This window comes from Homo sapiens, chromosome 3 (assembly GCF_000001405.40).
Source record: "Homo sapiens chromosome 3, GRCh38.p14 Primary Assembly".
Lineage (NCBI taxonomy): Eukaryota > Metazoa > Chordata > Mammalia > Primates > Hominidae > Homo > Homo sapiens.
Window position 1 is genome coordinate 138,400,928 of NC_000003.12, and position 11,425 is coordinate 138,412,352.

The following is an 11,425-nucleotide window of genomic DNA, read 5'->3' on the forward strand; positions in this document are numbered from 1 at the left end:
TCACACCAAAGCTTTCCACACTGTACAAACTAGGTCTCTCTCCTCTTCCCTGCCCTGATATCAGAGCACCCTTTGATATTTCCCCTGAACAACCAATATTCTGATTCCAAGGTTCAAATTTCAGAGGCATTGCACATGTATCTCCTTTCCCAACCCCACCAGCTGTCAATCTCCAAGTATTGTCAGCAATCCTAATGAAAGTTTCTTGTATATTCCTTTGCATGGTCAGGGTCAAGACGTTAATCACCTCATGCACTCATGACTAAAACAGCCTCCTGGCTGCATCCGCTGTCACCAAGCTATCCCATTTCCCAAATCTTTAACATGCACAGCAGCCTAACCAGCGGGTCTCAGACATTGTGCGTTGAGTTTGTGGCCTATATGCTGGCACCTCCAAGGGCTGCTGGTGAGCTGTGAGATCAGCCCCGGGGCTCTAACCCCCACTATACACACATGCCCCCACATGCTCAAAAAGCTCATCTTCTCATTATTCCCCAGCGTAATGAGGAAATATTACATTCTTCACTTTATGTTTTTGCTGGCAGTTTTGCACTCTCAAAATGATTTTCTCATCCAGGCGTAGTGGCTCATTCCTGTAATCCCAGCACTCAGAGGCAAAGGTGGAGGTGGAGGCAAGAGGATTGCTTGAGGCTAGGAGTTCAAGACCAGCCTGGGCAACATAGTGAAATGCCATCTTTACAAAAGAAAGAAAGAAACTATTTGCTCTTGGGCATTTTGCCTCCAATTAGGATGTGCTGCCATCAGGTAGCCTATGGTGATGCCTTGGTTGTGAACCTATAGTGCCAAGGTCAGGTTTTAGACATAGGAAAAGTTAACAGAAAACATGAAATGGCTTTTACGCTCAGTTGACCCATCATTTTATTTAAACTATGAAACACAGGAATAGAGGCCAGCACTCTATAAGACAAAACGTGATGTAGCTTATGATTTATGTAAATGTAGCTACAACATAATGTCAGTCATTCCCATCAGTAGGGCGATTTAGGTTATCCCCTCCCCCATCTCCCCCATTGCATTGCCTCAAGAGAAGCTATCCTGCCAGGCCCTCCTCCAGCGGCCAGGACAGCCACTGGGAGAGGGATGGCATCCCCATCCCCCTCACCCACTAACCCCGCCAGAACAGGCCTCCTCTGACTCAGATCTGGGGCTAGGGAGGAGAGGGGCAGAGGAGAAGCAAAGCCCATTCTGACTTTGTCTTTCTGTCCTTCATTGTTTCAAAAGGCAACAGATTCCGGAAAAAAGCCAGAAGAAGAAGAAGAAAACCAAATGGCGGGGAGACCGGGCCACAGGCACCCACAAACTGCAATGTGTGATCTTGTGACAGGCCTGAGGCCCTGGGCACAGTGACGGTGGCCTGGCCAGCCCTCGGGACCCCTCCCCACCTAACTGCACTGAAACCATTTCTAACCACAACCCTTGGCCCAAGGACTTGGTACAGGAAGGGAGAAGGGCAGGTGGGCAGGGAGCAGACAGGGTCTGGCTTTGCCCAGAGGGCACGGGCTTTCCCACCTCTCAAAGAGACAAGGAAGCCACCTGTAAGCAGAAGCAGCATCCAAGTGCCCCTGGCCCCCCCATGTGTTGATTCAACCCGGTTCCTCCCCCTCTCTCGGTGGGTGTGTTGTTTATTGTAACTACATAGTGTTGGTTTGATGTGGAAGTGTTTATCCACATACAAAGTACAAAACAAGCCATGAACAAGCTTCTTTCCCTTACCCCCCATCCACAATGTCTGAGCTTGGATGTCTTTTATAGATTTTTAAATTATTTTAGTGATTATTATTTTATTAAAGGGGTCTGGGCTCACTGCCTGGTGAAGTTTCAAGTGTTCAGCAGACCTCTCTGGTAACATATCTGGAATATTGTTGTTGTTTTTTAACCGAGTTTTCCCATCAGTGCCAAAACTCAACTCAATCTGAAAGTAGAGTGTCTGAGAGGACAGAAGGTAATGGGAACTGTAGCTGGAGGCCTCAGGCCATGGGTCAAACCTGGGAGGGAAAGAGACCCTACACATGGCCTAGAAATGAGAGAAGAGAGAGGTATTTACCCAGAGGATTTTCCTATGGTTGGGGATGCAAATATTAGAAAACAGATTGTATTTTGCTGAGGGGAGTGGCTGTCATGAGCATGTCAGTTCTAAAAGGGGTTTTCATTATCCTGGAAATGTATAAACTAAAGTAAGCTGATTGGCTTTGCAAACATGTTCATTTGTTTTTCAGACAGTATGGGTTAAGTTCTCTGCCCTCCCCAGGGGTCTGAGGAGGCTCTGGGTTTCTCAGATCTGTCTCTTGCTGCGTTTTCACATCAGCTGTGCTGCTTGGTGCCTCTCTGATACGAATACACTGACACGTCAAAGTAACCTAATGTGGACACCATCCAGAAAACTCCAGTTCATGCTGGATCTTAACCAAAAATGATTCAATACTGTTATCACTAAAACAGCACCAAGACCTGAAGCCATCTTCCCTTGGAGTCAACTGACTACCACCTCTATAAGCCTAGTCAATGAGCAGACCCCTTCCAGTATTTGTAAAAGTAGTACTAGGTTGCCTTTTTGGCAATTTTTATTGACCTGTTGAATCTTGACTATAAAATGATCTGAGAAGTAAGGAAGGCTGGGCTGATGTGTGGCTCTCATATACCTTCTGCAAGGGGGCAGTCTCCCCAGCTCCCTGATGATGCTCACCCCCGCCCCCCCACCTCAGGTGCTGCTGGTGTGAGCCAAAGACTGGAGTTTTTCCAGCTGGGGTGGGAGTGGAGAGACAACAGGAACAACGCTGCACCAAAGAAAAGGTCAGAATAAAAGGCAGCACAGCTGGTGACCTTATTTTCTAGATGTTACAAATCAGGTCACTATGCAAACTAGAATATCCTCAGCAGGTGGCCTGGCCACTCTGGAGAAAGAAACCCAAGGAAAGTGAGCACCCAACTGGATGCCAAGACACCCGGGTTCTGAAAATGTGCTGTGTTCCTACCTCGGCAAGATCACCAGCACTGAGGGGCCCAGCTGGAGAATGATTCTGCTACAAAAGGAGACAGTTGAGACTTTTGCTTGTTGGAAATCAAACTTCTTATTTGTCTAAATTGCCCCTTTTTCTGTTCCTAAAAGGAAGGATAAGAGAGAACATTCCAGGTGAGGCACTTCAAAGTTTCCTTAGACCCTATAGTGTTAAGAGGTATTTTAAACACTAAAAGGACAAAGCTCTTCCCAATCCTTATGCTTCCCTAAGTGGTATCTGCAGCAGTTTGTTGTGTGCAGTTTGATGGCAGCTGCAAACTGGAGGTGAGGCGGAGGAAAGGCAGGTAGGAAGGAGTAAGGATGGAGATGCTCAGAATCAAGAGCATGGCGGAGTAGGAGAAGAAGCCCTGCACACAGGGCAGTGTCCACAGCCAGAAAACTCCTGCTGGGCACCAACCACTACGAGCATACCCCATGCCCACCGTGGAGCTGCAACTCCTCGACAGCACTGAGTTTGATAGTCTCACTGGAAGCAGATCAGCTGATGTAGAACAGAGACCTCGGCCATAAAGGTGAGAAGACATAGGGATTTCAACCACACAGTTGGGACAGAAGGGACAGTGCATCTGTTCATCCATCCTGCACTTGGCCCACGTTGAACTCCATGGTGCCTGAGAGAGACTAGTTAAGGGTTGGTCTTCTGTATCCTCTGCTGTTGAGCCTCTGGTAAGCTTTCATCTCCCATGAACTCATTTCCCCATAAATGAAATGGGTAAATAATGCCCCATTTGTAGAAGTGGGCCCTCATGACTGAGGTAGCTTCCAGATAGGCCAGAGTAGAGTGTAGAGTGTGCCCCGTGACATCCCTCCATCTTCTCCTCCATTATCATCTAGCAGGGTCAGACTGGGAAACCTGGTTGGCCACGCCACACCATGACCGAGGAGCCAACTGGGACTTCTGGCTGTTTGACATCCTCATGTTCCCGTTGGTCTTCCGGAGAATAGTGCTACCCTCACATCCCCTGGAGCACAGCCTTCCTGAAATGCCCTCACCCCATGCCTTTGCCATTGTGTGCTCTCAGATTTCTTCCACTGTTTGACACCCTCCTTAGAGGGCTGCTCTTTTTTTTCCAGAGATAATCCTAGCCATCCTCTCCACTCCCACGGCTGGGGACAATGGCCACTTACTACCTGTGCACTTTGCCACTCGGGACACCTGGATGGTTTCTCTTAGGACTTTGCCCACCTCCTTCTCATGGCACTTGCTGTGGAAAATGCCTGGCTGGCCTCGTGGGGCCTGTCTCACTTTTCCAGGAGACATGACCCACTAACGTGGCAACTTTAACCCAAAGGCCCCTCAGACATGTTACAGCAAATCTGGAGCCACAGACAGGTTCCCTCCATTGGCAGCCCATTGTGTTTGAAATTCCATGTCGGGTTTACTTGGAATGAAAGATACTTGAATTATTGTGCGCCTGTGAGCGCCCAGCTTCTGTTTCATAGTCTTAACAGGTGGCCATTGTCGTGAAACGAGTGATGCCTGAAGATCTCAGTGATGTTTGAACCTTCTGTGTAACTTTTTATTAAGTCTTTGTATCTCTCGACTGATTAATAAAGAAGAGAAACACGTATCTGTCTTAGTTCCTTTTACTCCAGTATTCCTGAAGTTTTGCTGAGAACATTGTGAGTTGTTGGTGTTTTGCCCAGAACATCCACGTCTTACAGAGCATGACCTTGGTGCTAACCAGATCTGAAGTAAGGAGGAGCCCACTGGTGGCCGTGGGGTGTCTCCTTCCTGCATGGAGCTGGAGGATGAAGGCAGGCTAGCACAGCATTTAGAGGCACTACCTCTTGATACTGGGCAGATCTGGATTTTAGCCCTACTACCGACCTTTGTATGCCTTTGGGCAAATGACCTGCCTTAGTCTTGAGCTGCCTTGCCTGTGAATGGGACACTAATGTGCACTTCAAAGTAGCTGGAGGACTAAAGCTAATGTAGGAGTGTGGTGAGGAGCCCAGAAACAGTGCTCTTTGTCCAGGACACCTATTGGATTATCTGCCTGACATTCCTTTTCATAGAAACTGCCCTCTTCCCCCATCCTTAGGGTTACAGTCTTTGGCACAATGTGATTTCATTTTTGTTGATTAAATAGGGCGGGTACTTGACCAAGCTGAATCTCTCAGGCTCCGTTTTCCAGGGAGTACAAGCCAAAACCCTCTCTTGGTAGCTCTTTGGGCAACTCTAGCTGAAACATGTAAGCCTGGGTGCTGGAGGATGCTTCTTATGCCCTCTGGGCTGGAGGCAGAGAAGGCTAGACTGCAGACTGGGGAGAGAGGTGATATGGTGGACCACTCAGGCCTGTCTTCCTGCCCATTCATTCTTTCCACAAATATTTATTGGGCACTACCATATGCTAGGCATTGGTCTGGGTGCTAGGTATATGGTAGTGAACAAGGCAGTGGGTCTTCTAAGTCAGTTCTTTCTCCTCTAGTTCTATATTAGTTTCATTGTGGCTGTTGTAACAAATTACCACAAACTTAGTGGCTTTAAAAGAGAAAAGTATTATCTCACAGTTCTGGAGACCAGAAATCAAAACTCAGTATCACTGCCCTGAAATGAAGGTGCCAGGAGGGCCTTCGCTCCTTACCTCTCCCAGCTTCTGGTAGCTGCTGGCATTCCTTGGCATGTGGCTCCATCACTCCAGTCTTCGAGGCCAGCATCTCCATATCTTTTACTTCTCCATCTTCACATTGCCTTCTCTGTGTGTGTCAAATCTCCCTCACTCTCAGTTGATACTTCTTCCATCACTGAGAAGGTTGAAAACAGCTGAACAGAATTTCCACAGACTCCTTTCACCACCTCTGCCCCCTCCCCAGCATCTGCACCCACCTGCTGTGCCTTCTTAGTTGTTAGTGATGAACCCTCCATGCTCCTGGCTGAAGCCAAGCCCCTTCCTCGAGCACTAGCACATACCAGGCATTACCCTGGCCCCCATCCCTCCTCTGTAACTCCAATTTTCCCCTCTACTGGATCTTTCTCATCTTAAAGAAAAAGAAAACCTTCTTTTGACCCACTTCTTTTGCCAGATACCACTTGATTCTCTGCTCTTTTTTGTCTTTTGTAAGTTTTTTTTTTTTTTTTTTTTTTTTTGAGACGGAGTCTTGCTCTATCGCCCAGGCTGGAGTGTAGTGTGATGATCTCGGCTCATTGCAACCTCCACCTCCCGGGTTCAAGCGATTCTCCTGCCTCAGCCTCCTAAGTAGCTGGGACTACAGGCATGCACCACCACACCCAGCTAATTTTTGTATTTTTAATAAAGAGGTGGGGTTTCACCATGTTGGCCAGACTTGTCTTGAACTCCTGACCTCAAATAATCCACCCACCTCTGCCTCCCAAAGTGCTGGGATTACAGGCGTGAGCCATCGCACCCAGCCCAGCAAGAAAACATCTTAAAAGAGTAATCTATGCTCACTGTCATGCATTCCTCTCATTTCTTTCTCTTTAAACTGCTCCAGGTGAGCTTTCACCTGCCACTCCATCACCACCACCATTCTCAAAGTCACCAATGGCTTCCATTTGGCTAAATTCAAAGGCTGGTTCTCAGTCTTTTCATACTTGAGCTCCCTTCAGCAGTAACACAGTTGAACACTCCCTCATGAGACTTCCATTGGCTTCTAGGATGCTGTCATCTTTTAGTTTTTCTCCTTCACTGGTCACTTCCTTCTTAGTCCTTGTCTTCCACCTAATCTGTTAACTTTGGAGCACCCCAGAGCTTAGTCCTTGGTCCTCTTCTCTACCTACACTCACTTTCTTGATGACCTCATCCAATCTTGAGGCTAAGATGCCTTTTATCTGCTGTGGGCTTCCAGTTGTACCTCTCCAGCTTGAAACTGTCTCACAAGTCCCACTCATATATCCAGCTGCCAAATTGATATCTCACTTGGATGTGTCAAGTACCCAGTCTCAAAGTTAACATGTCCCAAACGGAATTCCTGATTTTCACCCTCCCGTACCTGCATTACATGTAGCCTTCCCCAGCTCAGCTAATGGCAACTCCATGCTTCCAGTTATTCAGGCCAAAAACCTTGGAGTTATCCTTCATTGCTCTCTTTCTCCTGCATCTCACACCCAACAAATCTCTGTTGACTCCAAAATATATCCAGAATCTGCCCTTTGCTTGTCACCTCCACTGCTAACATTCTACCCTGAGCTGCCATCTTTCATGCCTGTTTCATTCTTGTCTTTCTGCAGTTCATTCTCAACACAGCAGCCAGAACATTTTTGGTAAAATGGAAGTCAAATTATGTCTCTGCTGTGCTCAAACCTCACACTCCGGTGGCTCCTCCATCTAATTTTTAAGATGTGTCAGAGTGGGCTGTGCCACTGAACACTTAGTAATGGGCTGATGTTTATTAGCCACACAAAAAAAAGGATGGTCAAACATGTCCATTCATTCAGGCAGCACACACTCACTGAGCTCTGAGCCCCACATCAGGGCTGCAGAGAGCATTAAAACCTGTGCAGCACAGGGTTCCCAGCCTCATGGGGATGATGAGCTCTGGGGATCTGTGCATTAAGAGGAATGCTCTGACCTGGAGGAGCTCCCATAAATCTCAGTCCCTCATAATCCTTGTACTCAGTAGATGAAGAGGGTGTTCACTGACCAGATGAAGATTTTAGTCACATTTTGGGCCCACTACTTCCATCACTTTTGAAGATTGAAGGTTTCCCTTTCTAAAGGATGCTCAGATTCCCAGGTCCATACCAGGACTATTTTAAAGTCCACTTTCATCTCCGCACACTTCTAAAGAGGCTGTGAACCGAAGTTCCCAGGTGTCACAGACGTCAGCATTGTCATCACCCAGGAGCTTTCTGGAAAGGCAGACTCCTGGGCCCTGTCCCAACCTGCTGAGTCAGGATCTGCATCTTAACAAGATCCCAGGAGAGTTGTGTGCACAATGAAGACAGTAGCCACTGCTCCAGAACATCAGGCCTGGCATCGAAATGAAATCCAGCCCTGGACTCACTGTTCCTCAGGATCCGGTTCAGCTTCATCCAACCAGAGGATGCTTCATCTGCATTCATTCGATGACTAAAAAGTTCGCGCCTCTGCCTTTAACAGCTGCAAGATTCTGCCCAGCAAGGAGGAGGCAGTGAGCTCCAAGTGCCCACCCACGGTCAGCATGTGCTTCCCTTAATTATGGGAAGTTTTCACACAGAGGCAAGTGGGCTCCCAGTTTGCTTCTCAAACACTTGCATTTTGGTTAAAATGCACAACTATTGTAAATGTAAAGAACAAGAAAAAATCTAACTGCTGAGAACTCTTAGGGACTCCCAGTCCCTAAGCACTTGAAAGGGTGGCCTATTCTGTGCAAGCTGGATTTTCACTTAGCATAGCTGCTGGGCTTCCACATCATCCTAAATAGCTCATTACCATGCTAATGTGGAAATTTAAATATAAAAAAGGAAAGCTGAGTTTATACCAAGCAAAGAACTGATGGATGCTTTCAGTGGAATGTACATCCTGGCAATTATGTGCTAAACCATTAGCTCTGACTCAAATCCAGCTTCCTAGTCTCTCATCAGCCCTCCGCCTGGGCTAATGAGCAGAGGTGAAATCACTGGATAAGTGGCTCTCAAAGTGTGGCCCTCAGACCAGCAGCTTCCATATCCGGGGAGTCTGCTAGAAATGCAGGTTATCTGGTCCCACCCCAGACCTAATGAATCAGAAATTCTGAGGTGAGGCACAGCAATCTGTGTTGAACAACCTTCCCAGGAGACTCTGTTGCACCCTAAAGTTTGAGAACCATTTAATTAGATAAATTATTTAGGTAAAAATAAAAGTTCTTACCACGGGAAGGTAAATTGTGGCTGGGCTTGTTCTTATCTACAAGACAGCTGCTGACTCTCTGGGCAAAGTTGTCCAGGTACTTCTTCCTTCCTTCATCTGATTCATGAGGACCCCTCAAGGTCTGGAACTGTTATCAGAAAGGGGTTCTGATCCAGACTCCAAAAGAGGGTTCTTGGACCTTGCACAAGAAAGACTTCAGGGCGAGTCCATACAGTAAAGTGAAAGCAAGTTTATTAAGAGAGTAAAGGAATAAAAGAATGGCTACCCTATAGGCAGAGCAGCCCCCAGGGCTGCTGGTTGCCCATTTTTATGGTTATTGCTTGATTATATGCTGAAAAAGGGGCGGATTATTCATGCCTCTCCTTTTTAGACCATATGGGATGACCTCCTGACGTTGCCATGGCATTTGTAAACTGTCATGGCGCTGGTGAAGTGCAGCAGTGAGGACGACCAGAGGTCACTCTTGTGGCCATCGTGGTTTTAGCCATCTTCTTTACTGCAACCTGTTTTATCAGCAAAGTCTTTATGACCTGTGTCTTGTGCCCACCTCCTGTCTCATCCTGTGACTTAGAATGCCTTAACTGTCTGGGAAAGTAGGTCTTACCCTCACTTTACCCAGCCCCCTATTCAAGATGGAGTTGCTGTGGTTCACATGCCTCTTGACAGGACCCAGGTACCTCATACAGGGGTTGTTAACCTTGGCTCCATGGGGTTACAGGTGGGGTGGCTGACACCCCTCAAATCATATGCAAAATTCCGTGTATACATATATTCTTCTGGGGAGACAATCATGTTTTAGCAGATTCTCACTGTACCGCTGAGTGTCACCCAGCATGAAAATGAACCAGCCTCTTGAACCTTCTTTTTTGACTTCAGGCCCTTCTGGTAGTTTCACAGCCATAGAGAGTGGAAAGAGGAAATGAAAGGAGCGAAGATCCATCGACTCCACAACTTCTAAGAAGCTTTAAATTGTTCACTTGGTGGACACATCTCTGAGCTTGCTCCCACGACATCCTGAGGGAGGGGAGGCAGCCGGGCTGCCCTTCTCCTCCCAGTTCCCCAGCGTGACTAAGCGTGTAACGCACATGACTCCCTCATCTCCACCCCTGCTGTGGTTAACACCCCCTGCCTCTCGGGCCCTCAACACCCTGGTACAAAACTAGCAAAGAGCAAAGAAAATTCAGGGTGCTGTGGCAGCTCCAGGACTACTTGGCAACCCATCACCAGGATGGGAGCCCAGCTGGGCAACGGGAGCAGAGGAGAGATGGGAGGAATGTCAAAAAAGCACTTGAAGGCAAATGCCATCGACTCAAATTTGAATTTGTAACCACCTAGACCAGTGGTTCGCAACTCAGGCTGTACAATAGAATCACTCAGGGAGCCTGGAAAATAATTCTGCTGCCCAGACCACTCCTTCAAAGAGTCTGGTGCCATTGGTCTAGGTTAGGGCCCGGACATCAAGATGTTAAAGCTTCCCAGGTGATTCTACTGTGCCGCCAGAGCTGAGCCCACTAGCTGGGCTGCATTTTAATCTCATCTCCTGAATACCATGCCTTCCAGTGATCATGGGTTACTAAAAAAACAGCTGCCTGGAGTAGCCACTGTCTGTAAAGCCACTCCTATAAAGGATCAGTTTCCCAGCCCTTGATGTGTAAATGGACACTTGACCATAGGGGATTCTTATATTTTCATTAACGTGGGGGATTCTTATATTTTCATTAAAGTGGGTCCCCTCAGAGTCTAGCTTGATTTGTCGGTTTTCTGGTCACAGTCCACTGTAATATCTCATTTGTCCACATCTCTTCCATTTTTATATCCATAACCCAGGGAAGGGCCTGGTGATACAAAGTTAATACTGAATGTTTATCAAATGAATTAATAATTATTACAGATCTCAACAGGGGCCTCCAGGCCTTAAAATCTAAATCAGATTGGCTCAAACTATCCTTCTCCATTCCCAAGCCTATGGTTTGTGGCAGTCCCAAGGCCCACTGAAGACTTCACACAGTTCTCCCAAGTCAGGTTCTCACAGGGACCTCCACTTCTGTCCATTTCACTCTGACGTTCAGCCCCTGCCTCAGTTTCTACAAAGAAAACTCACTCTCAATAAACATTCCTAGCCAGGTGCAGTCGCTTGCACCTGTAATCCCAACTACTAGGGAGGTTGAGGCAGGAGGACTGCTTGAGCCCAGGAGTTTGAGACCAGCTTGGGCAACCTAGGGATACCGTGTCCCTTGAAAAAATAACCATTCCTGAGTTTTGCTGGGGACTTGGGGGTCACAGGGATGGTCCCTCTGCTGTCAGGGCCTCTCAGTTGGCCTTCACCCCATGCCAGACCCTCCACCAACCTGTCTTCTCCAGCACCAGCCACCCAGTAAGCTCAACACCCATCCCTTTAGATTCTCTAAACCTCATTTGCTTTCTTTAGCCATAATCCCATAATCTCTTCCTAGAATGAAATATGGTTTCAGCTCTTAATAGGATGGCCAAAACCAGTTTGCTGAGGACTGAGGAGTTTCCTGAAACACTGATCATTCATTGCTAAAACCAGGACAGTCCCGGGCAAACCAGGACCATTGGTCACCTTACTGGTAAG

The 11,425-nt window shown here is 47.4% G+C and overlaps 1 protein-coding gene across 13 annotated transcripts in view; it reads left to right on the top strand.

Annotated features, from left to right (window-relative positions):
- Positions 1-4,608, top strand: part of MRAS (muscle RAS oncogene homolog) — a 57,888-nt gene extending 53,280 nt beyond the window's left edge. For 9 of the 13 annotated variants that reach the window (NM_012219.4, NM_001252091.1, XM_047447696.1 and 6 more), the window contains one exon: positions 1,243-4,608. In NM_012219.4, coding sequence (NP_036351.3) covers positions 1,243-1,342 — 100 coding nt within the window. In that variant the 3' untranslated portion in view covers positions 1,343-4,608. The remainder of the gene's footprint in view (positions 1-1,242) is intronic. The other 4 variants (NM_001085049.3, NM_001252093.2, NM_001252092.2 and 1 more) reach the window with 1 other exon arrangement.
- The last annotated feature ends 6,817 nt before the right edge of the window (positions 4,609-11,425 follow it).